General features: G+C 46.6%; 1 protein-coding gene and 1 pseudogene across 2 annotated transcripts in view, besides 2 other annotated features; both read right to left on the bottom strand.

Moving 5' to 3' along the window:
- Positions 1-5,471: 5,471 nt before the first annotated feature.
- The window catches only part of PKD1P3-NPIPA1 (PKD1P3-NPIPA1 readthrough), a 40,299-nt pseudogene continuing 24,630 nt past the window's right edge, over positions 5,472-21,140 (bottom strand). Inside the window, exons 31-39 of the transcript NR_146231.1 lie at positions 19,882-19,967; positions 15,592-15,720; positions 11,859-11,958; positions 11,551-11,695; positions 8,495-8,602; positions 7,422-7,482; positions 7,277-7,312; positions 6,711-6,780; positions 5,472-5,917 (exon numbers count right to left, since the gene is read on the bottom strand). The product of NR_146231.1 is annotated as a PKD1P3-NPIPA1 readthrough (transcript). The remainder of the gene's footprint in view (positions 5,918-6,710; positions 6,781-7,276; positions 7,313-7,421; positions 7,483-8,494; positions 8,603-11,550; positions 11,696-11,858; positions 11,959-15,591; positions 15,721-19,881; positions 19,968-21,140) is intronic.
- Positions 5,476-20,089, bottom strand: NPIPA1 (nuclear pore complex interacting protein family member A1). Its single transcript, NM_006985.4, has 8 exons — positions 20,027-20,089; positions 15,592-15,720; positions 11,859-11,958; positions 11,551-11,695; positions 8,495-8,602; positions 7,422-7,482; positions 7,277-7,312; positions 5,476-5,917 (listed from the first exon to the last, which is right to left on the bottom strand). The coding sequence occupies exons 1-8, from the start codon at positions 20,087-20,089 to the stop codon at positions 5,507-5,509; spliced, it is 1,053 nt and encodes a 350-aa protein (NP_008916.2). The 3' UTR covers positions 5,476-5,506.
- Positions 9,167-9,666: an enhancer, noted in NCBI's record as "H3K4me1 hESC enhancer chr16:15041723-15042222 (GRCh37/hg19 assembly coordinates)". NCBI's record gives its function as "activates a minimal SCP1, AML or CMV promoter by ChIP-STARR-seq in primed H9 embryonic stem cells {active_cell/tissue: H9 hESC(primed)}" and the evidence as "EXISTENCE:reporter gene assay evidence [ECO:0000049][PMID:30033119]".
- Positions 9,667-10,168: an enhancer, noted in NCBI's record as "H3K4me1 hESC enhancer chr16:15041221-15041722 (GRCh37/hg19 assembly coordinates)". NCBI's record gives its function as "activates a minimal SCP1, AML or CMV promoter by ChIP-STARR-seq in primed H9 embryonic stem cells {active_cell/tissue: H9 hESC(primed)}" and the evidence as "EXISTENCE:reporter gene assay evidence [ECO:0000049][PMID:30033119]".

The raw sequence follows: 21,140 nt of genomic DNA, 5'->3' as shown, positions 1-21,140 counted from the left end.
CTATGACTGTACCACTGCGTTCCAGCCTAGGTGACAGAGTAAGACTTTGTCTAAAAAAAAGAGAGAGAAAGGGAGATGGGAAGATTTATGCTGCTGACTTTGAAGATGTTGGATGGGGAGCCAAGGAGTGCAGGGAGCATCTAGAAGCTTGGAAGAGGCAAGAAAATGAACTCTCCTTTAGGACCTCCAGGAGGAATGCAGTCCTGCAGACCCATTTTAGACTCTGACACCCCAAATTCTAAGACAAGAAGTTTGTGTTCTTTTAAGCCATTAAATTCGTGGTAATTTGTTACCTCAGCCATGGAAAAATGATACAAGGGGGATATAAGTAAAAAGCAAAGAAGGAGATGTTTTGGTGAGCTGGAAGCCTGCCCAGCTGGGAGAAATCTAACAGAAGTTTACTCCGGACCAGTAACAAGGATAAGGAGCCGGAGAAGGCTATAAATCAATAAACGGGCAGATAAAAAGGGTCAGAGAACATAGAAATGGGCAGATTTCCAAGAACTGAAGAGAATGGATATATTAGTTTGCTGGGGCTGCCATAACAAAATAGCGCACACAGCGTGGCTTAGACAATAGAAACTTATTTGCTCACCCTTCTGGAGGCAAGAAGTCCAAGACCAGGGTGCCTGCTGGGTTAGTTTCACACGGCTGCCTTCTTGCTGTGTCTTCACATGGTCTTTCCTTGGTGTGAAAACATCCCTGGTGCCTCGTTTTATTTATTTATTTTTTAAATAAAAAAAAAGAGAGAGAGAGTGACAGGGTCTCACTACGTTGCCCAGGCTGGTTTTGAACTCCTGAGCTCAGGCAATCCTCCTGCCTTGGCCTCCTAAAGGGCTGGGATTACAGGCATGAGCCACCATGCCCGGCCCCTGGTGCCTGTTTGTGTGTCCAAATTTTTTTTTTATTTTATTTTATTTTTAAAGACGGAATCTTGCTCTGTCACCCAGGCTGTAGTGCAGTGGCTCGATCTCCTCTCACTGCAACCTCCCTCTCCCAGGTTCAAGCGATTCTCCTGCCTCAGCCTCCCAAGTAGTTGGGATTACAGACATGTGCCACCACACCCAGCTAATTTTTAGTAGAGATGGGGTTTCACCATGTTGGCCAGGCTGGTCTCAAGTGATCTTCGTACCTCAAGTGATCCTCCTACTTTAGCCTCCTAAAGTGCTGGGATTACAGGTGTGAGCCACCAACCATGCCCCCAAATTTCCTCTTCTTATAAGGACACCAGACAGATTGGATTAGAGCCCATCCTAAAGGTCTCACTTTAACTTAATTGCCATTTTAAAGGCCTTATCTTCAAACACAGTCGCCTTCTGAGGTACTGGAAATTAGGGCTCCAATATATGAATTTTGGAGGGCATCATTTAGCCCATAACAACTGGGTTGATAAACTGAGGGACAGCCTACAGAATAGCCGGTTAGTGATCTCACTTGGAGACTAAGGCCATTTGACAGTTCAACACAATGTGAAGCAATCTGGGATTGGAGGCCAGACTGGGAACAAAGAACCTTAGGGTGACGATCGGTGATCATTTGAATAAGATCTGTAGATTAGGTACGTGTATGATTTCCGTGCTTATTTCCTTGTTTTGATCATTGTACTATGGTCATGTAAGATATCAATATTTCAGGAAGCTTGGATGAAGAGTATGTGGTAACTCTTTGTACTATTTTTGCAACTTCTTTCAAAGTCTGTAGTTATTTCAAAGTTAAAAGCTAAAAATCAAGGCCAGGCACGGTGGCTCATGGCTATAATCCCAGCACTTTGGGAGGCCGAGGCCGGCGGATCACCTGAGGACAAGAGTTGGAGACGAGCCTGGCCCACATGGCGAAACCCCGTCTGTACTAAAAATACCAAAATGATCCAGGCATGGTAGCGCATGCCTTTATTCCCAGCTACTGGAGAGGCTGAGCCAGGAGAATCGCTTGAACTTGGGAGGGAGAAGTTGCAGTGAGCCAAGATCGCACCACTGTACTCCAGAGCCTGGGCAACAGGAGTCTGTCTCAAAAAAAAAAAAAAAAAAAAAGAAAAAAGAGAAGTTAAAATCAGGGCCAGGTGCGGTGGATCATGCCTGTAATCCCAGCACTTTGGGAGGCCAAGGTGTGTGGATCACAAGGTCAGGAGATCGAGACCATCTTGGCTAACATGATGAAACCCCATCTCTACTAAAAATACAAAAAAAAAAAAGAAAGAAAGAAAAATTAGCCGGACATGGTGGCGGGTGCCTGTAGTCCCAGCTACTCAGGAGGCTGAGGCAGGAAGCTACGTTGAGCCCAGGCATTTGAGGTTGCAGTGAGCTATGATTGTGCCACTGCACTCCAGCCTGGGAAACAGGGTAAGACCCTATCTCAAAAAAAAAAAAAAAAAAAAAAAAGGTGAGAAAAAGAAGCAAGGAGAAAATGAGTTCTATGAGGTGCGAGACTCTATATTGTCTGTTGCTTGGGTTCCCACTGACACCCCACTTTTGGGACAGTGCCTGGAAGCTGGGAGCTCAGCATATGTTTTGGGAGGTGATGATCATTGAGGCACAAACCGAAGAGGAGAAGGCACACTGGGCCTCATCTCACATTCATAAAAGCCATCACATTGTAACTTTTGACATTCTCTCTAGAGGAAGTCACACAATCAGTAGTGTATTGCGTGGGTTGCAAATGTGAATTCTTGGCCTGTAAACAGTTCAAACACATTGCCATTTTGGTAACTGAGTTTTGCTATCCCTTCAGTACAGCAAATCTTCAGTAGAGATTTGTTTAATAGAGATGGGGTTTCACCATGGTCTCTACTAAACCCTGTCTCTACTAAAAATACAAAAATTACCCAGGCGTGGTGGCACATGCCTGTAGTCCCAGGTACTCAAGAGGCTGAGGCAGGGGAATCACTTGAACCTGGGAGGTGGAGGTTGCAGTGACCCAAAATCATGCACTCTAGCCTGGGGTCTCGCTTTTGCCCAGGTTAGAGTGCAGTGGCACAATCATAGTGGCTCACTGCAGCCTCAAACTCCTGGGCTGAAGGGAATCCTCCCACCTCAGCCTCCCAAGTAGCTAGGACTACAGGCATGTGCCATCATGGCGAGTTAATTTTTTATGTGTTTTTATTGTCTCGAGACAGAGTCTTGCTCTGTTGCTCAGGCTGGACTGCAATGGCGTGATCTTGGCTCACCGCAACCTCCACCTCCTGGGTTCAAGCGATTCTCCTTAGTAGAGACAGGGTTTCGCCATGTTGGTCAGGCTGCTCTTGAACTCCTGACCTCGTGATCCACCTGCCTCGGCCTCTCAAAGTGTTGGGATTACAGGCATGAGCCACTGGGCCTGGCCTGGTGAGCTAATTTTTAAATTTGTTATAGAGACAAGAGTCTCTCTTATGTTGCCCAGGCTGGTCTCGACCCCCTGGCCTCAAGTGATCCTCCCACCTCAGCCTCCCAAAGTGCTGGGATTACAGATGGGTGTCACCGCACCTGGCCTCTGAGGAGGATTTCATTATAAAGCTGCCCTGAAGGGAGGGAATCCAATTTTACGAGAGGGTGTAGCCTGGTGAGGCCTGGATGACCTCCGGAGGCAGGGGCTTGTGCCTGGGCTGAGGCCTAAGGGTCAATGGGCAGACATGAAGTTGCCCCAGGCAGAGGGTACAGTGTGGGCAAAGTCAGGAAGTGGCAGGGCTTGGATCACTAGGAAGAGAGAGGAGTCATGTGTCACAGGAGCTCGAGACCCAGAGAGGGAGGCAGGCAGGCAGGCAGGGACCAAGCTTGGGCACAGCCAGGAAGGCAGAGGGCATGGTGGGGCCAATGGAATCATTACCCAAGACGGGGATTTTCAGGGAAACAGCTTAGATAAGGCCAGGTGTACAGTAGCTCCCACCTGTAATCCCAGCATTTGTGGAGGCTGAGGTAGGAGGACTGCTTGAGCCTGGGAGTTCGAGACCAGCCTAGGCAACATAGTGAGACCCCATATCCACAAAAAATTTAAAAAAGGAGTTTGTGTTCCTGTAGTAGCAGACTTGGGAGGTTGAGGTGGCAGTATCACTTGAGCCCGGGAGTTCAAGGCTAAAGTGAGCTGATTGAGCCATTGCACTCCAGCCTGAGCAACAGAGAGATACGCTGTCTCAAAGGAAATACAAATTAAAAAACCAGCCAGGCATGCTGGCGTGTGCCTGTAGTCTCAGCTACTTGGGACACTGAAGTGGGAGGATCGCTTGAGCCCAGGAGTTCAAGGCTGCCGTGAGCTATGATTGTGCCTCTGCAGTCCAGCCTGGGCGACAGAGAAAGACCCTGTCTCTTAAAAAAAAAAAAATCTTAGATAAGAGGATGCTGTGCCTCCCTGGGGGTCTTCAGTCACCCATAGTGCTGGCAAGAGAGGAGGGCCAGGAGAGAGTTTCACCCACCTGCTGTCCTGCCCATGTGACATCCGCAGGTGCTGCCATGGCCACGACTGTTGTTACACTCGAGCTGAGGAGGCCGGCTGCAGCCCCAAGACAGAGCGCTACTCCTGGCAGTGCGTCAATCAGAGCGTCCTGTGCGGTGAGTCCCCAGCAGCACCATGCCACCCACCCCGAGTATCCCCTGGGCACCCTGGCATAGCCAGATGACTTCCGTGCCCCTGTTGCAATAACCACTGCTTCCAAGTCTCTATAGACCACCCCTTGGGTATATCTAATGTAAGTGATATTTATTTTATTTATTTTTTGAGTCAGTCTCGCTCTGTCACCCAGGCTAGAGTGTGCTGATGTGATCTCGGCTCACTACAACCTCTGCCTCCTGGGTTCAAGCGATTCTCATGCCTCAGCCTCCCAAGTGGCTGGGACTACAGGCATGCACCATCACGCCCAGCTAATTTTTGTATTTTTTCAGTAGAGGTGGGGTTTCACCAAGTTGGCCGGGCTGGTCTCAAACTCCCCACCTCAAGTGCTCTGCCCGCCTCGGCCTCCCAAAGTGCTGGGATTACAGGCATGAGCCGTGGTGTCTGGCCCTAATGTGAGTGATCTTTAACACTGAGCACTTGAAAAAGAAAACCCTGAAGAAACCTAATTCTTTGATGTCTGGATGACAAGGAAGAAGATAGAAATGGCATCAGATAATAAACAGTGTAAATGTTTATCAGAAAGAGGCTGGTGGTCGGGACAAGTAGGAGGATTGCTTGAGTCCAGGAGTGCATCTCTACAAAAAAGTTAAAGGATTTTTTAACATTGGCCAGGCGTGGTGGCACACATCTGTGATCCCAGCTACTTGGGAGGCTGGGGCAGGAGGATTGCTTGAAGCCCAGGAGGTTGAGGCTGCAGTGAGCTGTGATCGAGCCACTGCACTCCAGCCTGGGTGACAGAGCAAACTCCAGTCTCAAAAAAAAAAACAAATAATAATATTTTACATAACCAACCACTTCTAAAGATTAAAAAAACCCCTACGATTAAAAACCTCAGGTCCCTCAGGCAATCATACCAGATATTGAAACAAAGCAATAACATAAGGACTGCAGTATTCATTTTATTTTTATATTATTTATTTATTCTTCCTTAGTTTCTTGAGATTATCATCCGCTGAGGGTGGAAGGGGAGTGAGCAGACACACTCGGGAGGTGTCTTGAGATTATCATCCACTGAGGGTGGAGCTGAGGGTGGAAGGGGAGTGAGCAGACACTCGGGAGGTGTCTTGAGATTATCATCCGCTGAGGGTGGAAGGGGATAGAGCAGACACTCCGCAGGTGTCTTGAGATTATCATCCGCTGAGGGTAGAGCTGAGGGTGGAAGGGGAGTGAGCAGACACTCGGAAGGTGTCTTGAGGCTCAGGGAGTTATCAATTATAGAATGTTGTTGAGTTGGAGGAGGTGGCTGGTGGCCCATCCTGTTTTTTAAAGTTTCAGCTGTGAGGTAGGGCCAGTAGGGCAATCCTGAAGAATGACGATGCTCCACTGCCGCCATTCTGACCTGTAGGGCCAAAGGAGGGAATGTTTTCACACATATTCATTTGATGGACAAAATTACCGCCACCAACACAGTCTGCACCTTCTGTTGCTGGTGATAGATTTTTGCACCTTTCCATCCTCCAGGTTTCAAAATAGCAGTGTCAGTGTCATAATATCACCCTTCCACTGAGTACTGCCGACAGCTAGGGGGTAAAGAAAAGTCATTGGGACACACTGTTGTCTCCACATGCCACTGTGTCTGTCTGCAAATGTAGGCAGGCTGGGGTCCTGCCCCAGGGAAGACAGAGTCATAACAGAGTAATAAAGAAGCATGTTTGAGACACAGGAGTGTCTATGTCTATCCTCATTCCTCCCTCACAGCCATCACCAGAGCATGTTTCTTGCACCAGGTCAATAGACAGTAAGAGACAGTAAGAGAGGCATGAAAAGCCCATTGTCCACACATGTTGCAGCTTCTTTTTGGAGAATGTTTTCCAGGCCTTTTATGTTCTGTCTCTGATTCTCAGAACTCTGCAAGGTCAGTGTGACCACCCTGCTCCAAATCTAAGAAAACAGAGGTTTCCAGAGGAAGGAGAAATTGTGCCCAGGGTCACACAGCTTGCAAGAGGCAGAGTGGAAGTTGATTCCAGCTCTGCCTGCAGGACCCTCTCATTTCCCCTCTGTTTCCCTTCTTGACAAAGGATCTTCTTCACTCTGGAGGTGCCACCCATGAGAACAAAGAGCTCTGGAGAGATGTGGATTCCTGAAGAGCTGCAGGGGAACTGGGAGAGGGTTTTCTGACAGAACAATCTTACCTCAAGAAGTCAGTTAGGCATGGCTGTAATATTTCTTTTCACTCCCAGGTAATACCAAATTGTAAGTGCACTAGGACATAAAGAATACTTTTGTCCATGGAAAAATGAGGTGGGAATTCTAAACAAAGCAAGTTTTAAAACTGTGTTTCATTTCAAGTGTACAAGTCCCATCGCGTGCAATCATAGGACTCGGCAGCTTTTGAAGGTACAGAGGCCACACAAGAACCAGCTTAGCTGAGCATCATTTAAGGCCCTCATTTGGAATTGTCCCTGTGGGTAATAAGTTACATTCACTCTTCACTAATTTACAGTCAGGGCCCATTTGCTATTACAAATACGGAACCTCTGACACTTAGAATATTAGATGGGGGCCCCACTGGGTGGGGATGAAGGTGTTTTTGCGCAACACGGTTACCAACAGGGATGGGACTGTGATGCTTGTAGGCAGCCTTCCTCTCTGCCATCTCCCTCTGCAGGGCTTGAGCACAGAGCCGTAGGGAGAAAAATGTATCCATGTCCTGACCTGGCAGACTATGTCCAAAAGCAAGGAAAACAAGCAAACTTACCCGGTTGCAAAGAGGCTTTCTTGCAGAAGGGGTGATCTGAAAAAGCCAACACATGAGAAATTGAATGTTGAGAGAGTCTAAGGGCCGTGGCATCATCTGCATCAGCACTGAACTATCCTGCAACTGCGGGGAGGAAGCTCCTTACTTTGCATCTGTAGTAGTCCTCTGCCCGCCGCCGCAACGCTTGCGCACGTTGAAACATTTCCCTATGGATTACAATCACTTTCATCAGATAAAGCACCACTTTCAGGATGATTTTAAATAATCTGCCATGTTTCTGTTATCCTCACAACTGTACCCTTACACAATCTATCTCTACCTAGAAAACGTATTTCAGATGGCTAGAAGAGTACAGTCTGAGCCGGTCACGGTGGCTGACGCCTGTAATCCCAGCACTCTGGGAGGGCGAGGCGGATGGATCACGAGGTCAGGAGATTGAGACCATCCTGGCTAATACGGTGAAACCCCGTCTCTACTAAAAATACAAAAAATTAGGCGGGGGTGGTGGCAGGCGCCTGTAATCCCAGCTACTCGGGAGGCTGAGGCAGGGGAATCACTTGAACCTGGGAGGCAGAGGTTGCAGTGAGCCAAGATCACGTCATTGCACTCCAGCCTGGGTGACACAGCAAGACTCCATCTCAGAAAAACAAAAACAAAAACAAAAACAAAAAAACTGTACAGTCTGATCCAAACTGTTGCTATATTGATTCCTCCTCTTGCTTACTGCCTGACTTCTGAGATGATAGTTTCCTTCCCCATTCTCAGTATATCCCTAATTCATCCTTCATTGAGCATCTTTTATCATAAAGCTGTATTCTCTTTGTATTAATATCTTTACCGTGTTTCACAGGGCAGAAACAGCTGGGCTTATAAACAGGCATAGTCCTTTTGAAGGATGTGGTTGATCCTACAACAACACACTTTCCTAAGGATGACAACAACTCACCCCACCCCTAGAATGGCTGGTATGAACCGAGTTTCCACACAGTCTAGCTGGCAATGGGGTCAGGAGCCGTTTTGCTACTTCACATCTTTTGGTCACTGGTAAATATTAAGGTACTTTGTTTTCTGTTTTGTGAACTCTCTCTCTCTCACGATATGTCTTCTGACCATTTGTTTCTATTTCTGCATTTACTGGGTCTAAACATTGTACAAAGGTTAAAAACAACACTCCAATGGGCGTTTCCCAAGAGGGTGGGGTTCAGTTTCTGAACTCACATGTAGGTGTGTATTTCTTTCATATCCAATTTCCCATTTTCCTCTGCCTCTGACACCTGCCTCTCCTTTTCTCCGTGCTCACGTTCTTTCATGCTTAGTTTCCTCAGACTAGAAGGGAGAGAAATGCACACACATGATCCACCAGCACGTGTGGGATTCCCTCTGCCCTTCTGGCATCTGAAGGCTGATTCAAAGATCCCCCCTGCAACCTTCCCACAAATGAACCAACTGATTCTCACAACCGAAGGAAGAATGGACACCTCCCATTGAGGGACAAAAAAAAATCACACTCTGGCCTGCTGGCAAGTCACCTGTCATTTCCAGCTCATCTTCATAGTTCCATAGTTAGTCCTATTCTTTAGTAAATATAAAGACTATTAAAAGCTTCTATGAGGTGCACTATGTGCGTCTCTGGGGTCAGTCTTGTGCTTGACACAGCGAAAGCTCATTTTAGTTCAGTGTGAAAAACCAGACCTCACCAATTCATCACAACTAACTCCATCGGAAGCAGAGGATTGCTCCTCATCTGACTTCTCCTGTGTGAGACCTGATTCTCAGTCAGAGGCTGATGCCGGAACTGAGACCATCAGCCATAGAGAGATCCTTCCAGAATATGGTGTCATTAACCCCGCAGTTCACTACTGCACTTTGCCATGATTCAGGACTGGAACTCTTGTCATCGACTTTAAAGATCCTGAAAAGGCAATCTGAATGCTGGGTGCATCTATTGAATTAGAAATGATCGGAATGGCTCCTAAGTCAGGATGTTATGTCCTGAAAATAGGTGACAACGGCAAACCATCCACCCTGGTGTTGACTGACTTTAACAAGGTTCAGTTCACAGAGATTGAGGGCAGAAAAAGGAAACGGCCTCAAAAGGGTAAGTTTGCTGTGTTGCCCTCACACCACTTGATTCATGGTCCTGATCCTAAGGATCTCACCTGATACTTGGTTTTATAGGAAGGATGTGTAAAATTCCCAGAACGCTAGGAAACAGGGACGAAAACACTTCAAAGAGAAAGTTAATGAACTTGTTTCTGACCACAGGGCATCCTTCAGCACATGCTGTCTGGAGTGGCCTCAAACAAGGTGTGTGTGGTGAGGTGCTGACAATGCAATGGGAGCAGGGTCCTGTCCCCACGCTAAAGAAGCTCACAGTTTAATGCAAATGAGAAGCCAGTGAGGACATCACTACTCCTGCTGTGCACTTGGGAACTAGAAACACAAAACCTGACTCTGGAGGGAGGCTAAGGAAGCATTCTACTCTTGAGTTGACATAAGTGCATCTGAAGCTTCTGATCTCAGATGAGAACAATGGGGGACACCAAACAGAATATAAAACCCATGATTGAATACATCAAATTGCTAACATGGCAGTAAACAGACATGAGGTGAAGATGGAGAAGAAGGAAACCCAGGACGAAAGTCAGCCTCGCATTTGGAACCCATTTCCCTGAGTTTCATTGCTGAATTCCAGAAGGAACTACTGAGATGCAAAGAAGCACAGCAGCTTTTGCACACATGCGTGGGGTTAGATGGAAAACAAGTGGATTGAGGGTCTGCCAATGAAAGCGATCCATACTGAAGTCCACTGGCTCTGGTTGAGACCCAGAAGAGTCATGCATCAGAATAGAGGTGGACAGGAAATACCCTGGCCTTTGTAGGGACTGAGCCTGCAGAGACGACCTCAATTGCAGCCTGTACGGAGGACCCCTGACCATCCCCCAGAAGTAGACTCCCATCTCTTCTGCAGCAAGATAACATGCTACTAGGCCTCAATTCATTGTTAAATATTTTTTAACAAGTATCTCACATTTAACAAAAAAAGATCAGTCATATGGCAGCAAAATACAATGTAGTATGACCAAAACATGAAAGACTGTGAAAATGAATCTGGAGGTGACCCAAGCATTGAGTTCAACAATCCAGGCTGGGTGCGGTGGCTCACACTGGGAGGCTGAGGTAGGCAGATCACCTGAGGTCAGGAGTTCAAGACTAGCCTGGCCAACATGGTGAACCCGTCTCTACTAAAAATACAAAAATTGGGCTGGGCACGGTGGCTCACGCCTGTAATCCCAGCACATTGGGAGGCCGAGTTGTGCGGATCATGATGTCAGGAGTTCTAGACCAGCTTGGCCAATATGGTGAAACCCCGCCTCTACTAAAAATACAAAAATTATCTGGGCATGGTGGCATATGCCTGTAGTCCCAGCTACTCAAGAGGCTGAGGGATAAGAATCGTTTGAACCTGGGAGGCGGAGGTTGCAGTGAGCCAAGATCATGCCACTGCACTCTAGCCTGGGTGACAGAGTGAGACTCTGTCTCAAAAAAAAAAAAAAAAAAAAAAAATTGGCCGAATGTGGTGGCACACACCTGTAATCCAAGCTACTCGGGAAGCCAAGGCAGAATTGCTTCAAACTGGGAGGCAGAGGTTGCAGTGAGCCAAGATTGCACCATAGCACTCCAGCCTGGGCGACAGAGCGAGACTCTATCTCAAAATTAAAAAAAAAAAAAAAGCCTGGGTGTGGTGGCTCACGCCTCTAATCCCAGCACTTTGGGAGGCTGAGGCGGGTGGATTACCTGAGGTCAGAAGTTCGAGACCAGTCTGGACAACATGGTGAAACCCCATCTCTAGTAAAAATACAAAAATTAGCTGGGCGTGGTGGTGGGCACCTGTAATCCCAGCTACTTGGGAGGCTGAGGCAGGAGAATTGCTTGAACCCAAAAGGCAGTGAGCTGAGATTGTGCCATTGCACTACGGCCTGGGCAACAAGAGCAAAGCTCCATTTCAGGAAAAAAAAAAAAAAAGAGAGAGAGAAAGGAAAACCAATGCCAGTACTAGCAACTCCTCTTCCCCTGAAAAAATGACAAACAAGAATGTAGGAAGGGAAAGGAATTATACAGCTTAAACTAATGAAGCAGAAAGGACAAGCTCAATTTTGAACCCACTGAATTTGCCACAAATATTGTAGAAAATATTCTCAAGGACTTTACAGTTGTCTACTTTGATTGGCACATGGTTCATACAACAGTATTTGTGTCAAGGCACATCTTACTGTTCTTTGGCGGTCTTCCTCTTTCCATTGATTTTGTCATGACGGTTGACTTTTGTTGTCACCTTCATCTTACGGATTTTAGCTCGAACTTTGGTTTCCACCTGTCTCCATAAAGTAAAGATGTCTTCCAGGACAATTTTAATTCCTGGAAAGGAAGAAACTCTTTTCTTTGTGTGCATACAAACGGACCTCAGCCCTTGGTGAGAGTGAGGAGAGGAGAAGGTGAGAAACCTGAGGGCAAGAAGCTGTTCTTTCCCTTTCCAGGGCAAACTCATTTCCACACTATGGGGACTCCAACAGAGCCATACCTTCCTGTCTACGGCGGTTGGACCTCCTGGCTCTCTGCTGTACATCCGTGGATCCATCATGTCCATTTTGAGACGGGAAGATAGTCTTCAGGAAAGACACCTAGGAAATAATAATATAAGAATGACGGCTGGGCACGGTGGCTCATGCGTATAATCCCAGTACTTTGGGAGGCCGAGGCAGGGTGGATCACGGGGTCAGGAGTTCAAGACCAGCCTGGCCAAGATGGTGAAACCCCATCTCTACTAAAAATACAAAAATTAGCCGGGCATGGCAGTGGGCGCCTGTAATCCGAGCTACTCGGGAGGCTGAGGCAGAGAACCGTTTGAAGCTGGGAGGTGGAGGTTGCAGTGAGCCGAGATCACACCACTGCACTCCAGCCTGAGTGACAGAATGAGACTCTGTCTCACACACACACACACACACACACACACACACACACACACACCACACAAGAATGACATGAGGCTGGCATGGTGGCTCACTCCTGTAATCCCAGCACTTTGGGAGGCCGAGGCAGGCGGATCACCTGAGGTCGGGAGTTTGAGACCAGCCTCACCAACATGGAGAAACGCTGTCTCTGCTAAAAATACAAAATTAGCCAGGCATGGTGGTGCATGCCTGTAATCCCAGCTAGTCGGGAGGCTGAGGCAGGAGAATCACTTGAACCCAGCAGGAAAAGGTTGTGTTGAGCTGAGATTGTGCCATTGCACTCCAACATGGGCAACAAAATTCAAACTCTGTCTCAAAAAAAAAAAAAAAAAAAAATATAGGCCAGGTGCGGTAGCTCACGCCTGTAATCCCAGCACTTTGGGAGGCCGAGGCGGGTGAATCACAAGGTCAAGAGATGGAGACCATCCTGGGCAACATGGTGAAACCCCGTCTCTACTAAAAATACAAAAATTAGCTGAGCATGGTGGCGCACGCCTGTAGTCCCAGCTACTCCGGAGGCTGAGGCAGGAGAACTGCTTGAACCCAAGAGGCAGAGGTTGCAGTGAGCCAAGATCCCACCACTGCACTCCAGCCTGGTGACAGAGTGAGACTCCGTCTCAAAAAAAAAAAAAAAAAATGACATGAATATACTTCACACAACTGAACTGTACACTTCAACACGGTTAGATGGTAATTATCATCTTGTAAGTATTTTACCACAGGTTAACATGTTTCACAACTTGAAAAGGAAGTAATTAATTACCTTCAGCTCTCTGAGTTCTAGAATTTGTAACATTTCACCCCCTGCTCCTTCCTGATCTGCACTGGAGCATCTTTCTTCTGTCCCTGCTCTACTCAGAGTTCACTTTCCCTTCCCTCACATCAGCTTCGTTGAGGCTGGTTTGAACTTAATGCAAAACATTCTCACTAATGACTGAATTCCCACCAAGATTTCCATATTATCACAGTATGCTTTTAATCTTCGAAGATATTAAATATTTGTTCTCATCATAGCTAAAATGCAATGCAAATCCCATCTCAGATGTGGGTCAGATACCTATGAATCTCCTGAGGTAGTCATTGAAATGACTTTTTTCTTGAGACGGAGTGTCACTCAACCATGCTGAAGTGCAGTGGCGCTACCTTGGCTCACGGCAACCTCCACCTCCCAGATTCAAGCGATTCTTGTGCCTCGGCCTCCCAAGTAGCTGGGATTACAGGTGCCTGCTACCATGCCTGGCTAATTTTTGTCTTTTTAGTAGAGATGGGATTTCACTATGTTGGCCCATCTGGTCTTGAACTCCTGACCTCAAGTGATCCACCTGCCTCAGCCTCCCAAAGTGCTGGGATTACAGGCATGAGCCACCACACCTGGCCTGAAATAATATCTTTCAAATTCTTTGTAGAATTTGTTTTTTCCTGATTTCTGCACATAGGATAAAAAAAAAAATCATGTACTAGGATTTCAAGAGAAGCAATGGGTAATCTAAAAAGATGAAAAGAGCAACCACGTCTATCCCACAGCTACTGCTAGATTTCATAGGAAAGGTAGCTGGCCCAGTTTGGAGCTAGGAGAAATGTCAAACACATGAAGAAATGAGAAGCAAAGAAATGCCATCACACATGAATGCTTCATGGCACCCATGATGTCCCTGCTTAGGAGGTAATGGTATAGATGACTAGATGACAAGGACAAAGATGAGAGGTACAAAGTTGTCCAAGTCCAACAGCTCAACTGAACTTTCCTAAATGGAATTGTTAAAAAGTGGTAAATTTAAAAACTTCCCCTGGCTCACGTGGTGGCTCACGCTTGTAATCCCAGCACTTTGGGAGGCTGAGGCGGGTGGATCATTTGAGGTCGGGTTTTGAGACTAGCCTGGCCAACATGGTAAAACCCCGACTCTACTAAAAATACACAAATTAGCTGGGCATGGTGGTGGGCACCTGTAATCCCAGCTACTTGAGAGGCTGAGGCAGGGGAATCACTTGAAGCCAGGAGGTGGAGGTTGCAGTGAGCCGAGATCACACCATTATACTCCAGCCTGGGCAACAGAGGGAGACTCCTTTTGGGGGTGAGAAAAGAAAAAAAAAAAAAAAAAGCTTCCTCCAATTTATACCAAAAATTCTCTGTTCAGGACTAAGTGGCATAGAGAATGTTAAATGTGCCTAGATATCTTCATAACTCATATATTTTCTGTTTTCCACATATCTTGAAAGGCAGTGCCAAATGACGTGTAATTATCTAGGCGGTAAAACTGAAACATACTTCCTCTTCCCTTGAATATCAAAAAGCATTGTGGTATTAGTACTTTTATCTTGGATCATTGTTCAGAAGGAGGTTCAGCCCCCACACAACCACATTTTTACTGTCATGAATGGCAAGACAAAATGTAGAGCTCAACTTACCCAAAGGAAAAAAGGCTCAAAAGACAAATTATGCCACAACTTAGCAGCCAAATTCTTACCAAGTACAGACTTTTGACATACGGATCTCTCTCCAGTTGCAAGTGGGAACATGCACTTTGAATGATGTCATTCAAAATTACCCTGCCCAGACACACTTTTCATTGATTCTCTTGGAGGGCAGTTCTAAGAGATTCTCTGGGGCTTTCTCTGCATCATGAGACGCAGTGCAGTTCTGCCCTTCACCTTCCGGCAGTTTGTCACCTCGTCCCTATGACCTCAGAGGAACTTTGTCTCAGGCCAACTGTTTGTTCCTTGGGCTCTTTCATTTCCCCTAAAAATCATTTGCTGACCCTCTAAATGGCCTACATCTCCATCTATCTCCCTCTACCCTCAGAAGAGGGTGCTCTTTAAGCATCAACCATCCAGCCCTTCTAGCAGTCTCATTTTTCAGCTGGTTCCCATGTTTATGCCTGTTCTATGTTTTTCTTTTCCTGTTAAGCTGTCTGTTGTCAGCTCATTTCTGCAGTGAATCTTCAGAGAGGAGATTGGAAGCTTTCCTTCCACCCATACGATAGAACTATAAAGCAGAAGAGTTTAGAAAGACTTTCCCATTTAAGTGACGAAATCTCATACTCCATTTGTGACAAATAGCACAAAGGTTAAAAAAACTTATTTTTGACCAAAAGCTCTGTTGACATTCTATTAAACACCGACCTATTTAATTTTCATAATGTAAATGGCAGATATTTTCATAATTCTTATGCTAATAAATCATTTCCCTGATTTTTTGGGTAAAACCACATATTCATAATGAAGTCCAGAAACGTGAATTGTTTCATATAATTTATTCTTATTTGTGATTACAAGTATACCTCTACAGAAAGTTAGTATACTCACACAAAGGTAACTTGTGCAGAGGGAGATGGCAAATTTATAACTTCTCAGAAACACAGTAATGATAAGTAACCAAGGACTTCCACCAAAGTCAGTCCCACGATGACGATGGTCAGCCAGAGTATTGATAACCTGGAATAATAATAGTTGAAATAATGAAAAGGTCAATGACACTGACAATATTTCACTCAGAAAGAATCATCCTTAGAAACCGTCAACCTCCTCCAAAAGGTAACCACATCCCTCAGATATCACCGTGGGATTCCACTGCTACAAAAAAGAACAGAAGTTAGAGAAGTCTCATGTTTTTCAGATGGCTGGTAGTGTTTTTAGGCATTGCAAATGTGGGGTGTTGTCTTTCTTGGTATAAAGCAGGGATATCCAATCTTTTGACTTCCCTGCCTATATTAAAAGAAGCAAAGTTGTCTTGAGCCACACATAACATACACTAACACTAACAATAGCTGATGATCTAAAAAAAAAAATTTTTTTTTTTTTTTTTTTGAGACAGAGTTCCGCTCCACTCAGTCGCCCAGGCTGGAGTGCAGTGGTGCAATCTCGGCTCACTGCAACCTCCAGCTCCTGGGCTCAAGCCATTCTCCTGCCTCAGCCTCCCGAGCAGCTGAGATTACAGGTCTCTGCCACCATGCCCGACTAATTTTTGTATTTTTAGTAGAGATGAGGTTTCACCATGTTGGCCAGTCTGGCCTTGAACTCCTGACAGGCGATCTGCCTGCCTCGGCCTCCCAAAGTGCTGGGATTACAGGTGTGAGCCACCGTGCCCGGCCATTTTTTTTGTTTTTGTTTGTTGTTTTTGAGATGGGGTCTCACTCTGTCACCCAGGCTGGAGTGCAGTGGTGTGCTCTCGGCTCACTGCAACCTCTGCCTCTCAGGTTCAAGTGACTCTCCTGCCTCAGCCTCCTGAGTAGCTGGGAGTACAGGTGCCTGACAGTGCACTCAGCAAATTTTTGTATTTTTTGTGGAGATGGGGTTTTGCCATGTTGGCCAGGGTGGTCTCGAACTCCTGACCTCAGGTAATCTGCCCGCCTCAGCCTCCCAAAGTGCTGGGATTACAGGCATGAGCCACTGTACCTGGCCAAAATCTCCTAATGTTTTAAGAAAGTTTACAAATTTGTGTTGAACTGCATTCAAAACTGTCCTGGGCCACATGCAGCCCGTCACTCATGGGTAAGACAAGCTAAGTATAAAGTAATTATCTTATCTTTTATTTTTGTTTTGAGACAAAGTCTTGCTCTGTCACCCAGGCTAGATTGCAGTGGCATGATCTCAGCTCACTGCAACCTCCGCCTCCCGGGTTCAAGCGATTCTCCTGCCTCAGCTACTGAGTAACTGGGATTACAGGCGCCTGCCACCACGCTCGGCTAATTTTTGTCTTTTTAGTAGAAACAGGGTTTCACCATCTTGGCCAGGCTGGTCTCCAACTCCTGACCTCATGATCCACCTGCCTCGGCCTCCCAAAGTGCTGGCAATACAGGTGTGAGCCACTGCACCTGGCCAGTAGTTATCTTTTCTTTAGTTATTTGTTTTTTAAATTGATGTATAACATTGGATGCATTTATTATATATCACATGGTAAAAGAATCCCTCTAAATAATACTTCTCTCTTGGATTATATGAATCTTTGTCATTTAAAGCTCAGCATAAGTAAAAAAAAAAAAAAAATACAATGAAGAGATTACTTCATTCACAAATAAGTATCGAATTTTAGTTCTTAAAAAGTAACAAGGTGGGCTGGGCGTGGTGGCTCACGCCTGCAATCCCAGCACTTTGGGAAGCCGAGGTGGGTGGACCGCGAGATCAGGAGATTGAGACCATCCTAGCTAACACGGTGAAACCCATCTCTACTAAAAATACAAAAAATTAGCAGGGCATGGTGGCACGCGCCTATAGTTCCAGCTACTTGGGAGGCTGAGGCAGAAGAATCACTTGAACCTGGGAGGTAGAGGTTGCAGTGAGCCAAGATCGCACCACTGCACTTCAGCCTGGGTGACAGAGCGAGACTCTGTCTCAAAAAAAAAAAAAAAATTACCAAGGTGGAGATCATGAAAATGGCATGAATAGCGTGGGATTTCTCTAAGATTGTTGATATTAATTCCATTAGACTCTTATGTGAGTGAAGACGAAGACTTCCCCTGAGTAAGTTCAGACAGCTTCTGATAACATTTCTACATCGATTCCTCAGGATTTAACTATATATTCTTGAAAACATCTCAATTTTAAATGTTTCTTTCAAGATGGTGAATTAAACAGAGATAGCCCTTCAACAGGTTGAACTCAGCATATGCTGAGTCTGAAATGGAAATGATGGAGTTAGAGAACCGTACAACAATGGTAATGATTTCAGAAACATGGTGTTGAGCAGAATAAAGCAGACACAAAAGAGTACCTATGGCATGGCATGCATCTGTATACGCGAAATTCCAGAATAAGCAAGCTAACCTATGATAAGAAAGAGACTGGCTGGGAAGAGTGAGAGTTCACTTTCTGGGGTGACATAATAGTGTAGATCTTGGCTGGGCACGGTGGTTCACGCCTGTAATCCCAACACTTTGGGAGGCCGAGGCAGGCGGATCACCTGAGGTCGGGAGTTCAAAACCAGCCTGACCAACATGGAGAAACCCTATCTCTACTAAAAATACAAAATTAGCTGGGAGTGGTGGCACATGTCTGTAATCCCAGCCACTCGGGAGGCTGAGGCAGGAGAATCGCTCGAACCTGGGAAGCAGAGGTTGCGGTGAGCTGATATTGCCCCATTGCACTCCAGCCTCAGCAACAAGGGAGAAACTGTCTCAAAAAAATAAATAAATAAATAAAATAATGTAGATCTTGAAAGGGGGTTGGTTTATGCTGGTGTATGTACTTTCCAAAGTTAGTAAACTTACACTTAAGGTTATATATTTTGGCCAGGCGCGGTGGCTCACGCCTGTAATCCCAGCACTGGGAGGCCGAGGCAGGCAGATCACGAGGTCAAGACATGGAGACTATCCTGGCGAACACGGTGAAACCCAGTCTCTACTAAAAATACAAAAATTAGCCAGGCGTTGTAATCTGAGCTGCTCAGGAGGCTGAGGCAGGACAATTGCTTGAACCCCGGAAGCGGAGGTTGCAGTGAGCCGAGATCTTGCCACTGCACTCCAGCCTGGGCGACAGAATGAGACTCTGTCTTAAAAAAAAAAAAAAGTCATCAAACCAGATGACACAAATCAAATGACATTTCACTTTGTTTTGGTCCGTTTTGTTTGTTAGAGACAAGAGTGCAGCGGGGCCATCTCGGCTCACTGCAACGTCCAGCTCCTGGGCCCAAGCGATCCTCCCACCTCAGCCTCTCCAGTAACTGGGATAACAGGTACGCACCACCAGGCCCGACTAATCTTTTTTGGAATTTTTTGTAGAGATGGGGTTTCGCTATGATGCCCTGGCTAGTCTTCAACTCCTGGACTCAAGTGATCTGCCCACCTCGGCCCCCTAAAGTGCTGGGATTACAGGCCTGAGCTGTGTAATTTCATGCCGCGTGACACAGCCCAGTAAAAAGGAAGAAACCCCGCGGGTCCAGCGTCTACTCACACAGGTGGACTGATGGCTGATAAATCCCAGCAGGAGCCAAAAGAGCAGCCACAGCACCCATCTACTCACACAGGTGGACTGATGGCTGATAAATCCCAGCAGGAGCCAAAAGAGGAGCCAAAAGAGCAGCCACCGCACCCGCATGTCCTGGTCCTTTCAGGGCACCCGGAGGTGGCCAGGACAGAGGTGGAGGTGGCTTAGGGCAGGGGGGAGGGAAGGGGACGGGGACCGGGCCGGATCTGAGTTGGGGAGGGGGAGGGGAGGGGGAGGGGAAGGGGAGGGGAAGGGGGGAAGTAAGGGAAGGGAAAGGAGGAGAAGGGGGCTGTTGGGGAGGAGGAGGAGGAGAAGAAGAAAGGGGTCTGGGAAAGGATCCGGTTCAAATTAAGTTCTCAAGCGCTGGTGGAAGGTTTAGCTACAGGTCACGGAGAAGATCAGGGAAGCAACAGGACACGCGGGGCAAGGGAGCGTGAGGCTTAGGAGCAATTAGAGGGAGACAAAGGTTCTGCTTTCCACCAAACCTTCTTCGGTCTGGGCCCTCCCTTAGCAACCCTGGGGCTTTAGACTCTCTCTCCACCAATCCCTGATGACCCCGGTGGTGCCTCACAATGGACATTCCAAGTAGCGCCCGCATCATCCCAATGACCCCTCCCCCATCTCAGTCCCCCACGCTCCTCCCAAGGCCAGGTCCTCTCTGGAACCTTCACAAACCTGATTTCTGGTCCTCCCCAACCAGCTCCCTGTCCCTGCTTCTGGGCGCTCCTTCCTTCCTGAGCTCCCAGGGTTCCTCAAGGTCACTTTTGGCGACAAAACATAAAAAACAAATGATGGCAGGATGGCAGGAAGAACCTCATACCCAAGCAGAGTGCCAGGTTTTACAGCCTCCGCTCAGCCATTCATATCCTAAGCAACAAAACATCAGCAGGATGCGGAAGGTCCCGATAGTAAACCATCTCCATCACATCCATGTAGCCATCCGTCCATCAACCTGTATCTCAGGAACAAATGTACATACATTCATTTTAAGCATGCATGGTACATTTACAAAAATTAACCTGACTTATTTTGTTCCAGCAAATCTCAATATATTTGAGAGCAATCAAATCACACAGCATGTTTCTGATCATAAAACTGTGCTAGAAGTCAATGATTAAAAGCTAATTCAAAATTATTATTTGCTTGGAAATTCAAAGTGCCCTTATAAGACATAAACATAAGAAAGAATCCAAAATGAAACAAGATTGCCTTTCAACTCAATGATGAGATCATAACATGGCAATAAAATGTCTCCCTCTGGCCTGGGAATTCCTCTTTGTGGCACAAGGTTGCGTGATCTCAAATCACCCCTAACCCACCTAGACATTTTAACATCCGAAACCGAGTGATGATGTCCTTATCTATATTATCTTACTGCCCGTGTGTGTGGACTTTAAATTCTGAACCCAAATGAGGGGGAGAAAACCAAGCTGACTTTCATGACTGGCCTCTCAGGGATGTCCAAGGAATCTGTGCATTTCAAGAAACAAAGCTCATCAGCTTCTCTCCTAAGGTATTTGCCCACAATACCCAGAGGGCTTGGCAGCATCATGTGTGATGGGTGGGGAGCTCCAAGCAGGTGGGCAGGACCCAGGGGCCTGGTGACCAGGACAGACCCCCACTGTCCATCACCTTTCCTGGCCCTGTCCTCAGCTAAACTTCCCACAGGCCTTCTGCCCGATCACACAGAGTGTGCCCAAACTCAGGCCTCTGGCAGCTGAAAACCACTGCTTTAAATCCCTTTACCATTTACTATGACATAAGGTTATTGTAAACAGGAAATATTCTATTGATGCTACAAATGGAAAGCCAATGCCTTTACCATAAATAGAAAAACAACCCTAAGAAACAAGCAAAACAAAAACAAAACAGGGGCTGGGGGTGGTGGCTCACGCCTGTAATCCCAGCACTTTGGGAGGCCGAGGTGGGCGGAT

Source organism: Homo sapiens, chromosome 16 (genome assembly GCF_000001405.40).
Source record: "Homo sapiens chromosome 16, GRCh38.p14 Primary Assembly".
Lineage (NCBI taxonomy): Eukaryota > Metazoa > Chordata > Mammalia > Primates > Hominidae > Homo > Homo sapiens.
The sequence above is the reverse complement of the archived record's forward strand: the minus strand, read 5'-3'. Positions and strand labels throughout refer to the sequence as shown.

Coding starts and splice junctions, on each gene's coding strand:
- NPIPA1 (NM_006985.4), bottom strand. CDS start 20,089: ATGTTTTGTTGCTTAGGATATGAATGGCTGAGCGGAGGCTGTAAAACC. Junction 8,603..11,550: donor AGGAAGACCGCCAAAGAACA/GTAAGATGTGCC, acceptor TCTCCCTTCTAG/TCTGAGGAAACTAAGCATGA. Junction 5,918..7,276: donor GAAAGCCTCTTTGCAACCGG/GTAAGTTTGCTT, acceptor TTGGCCCTACAG/GTCAGAATGGCGGCAGTGGA.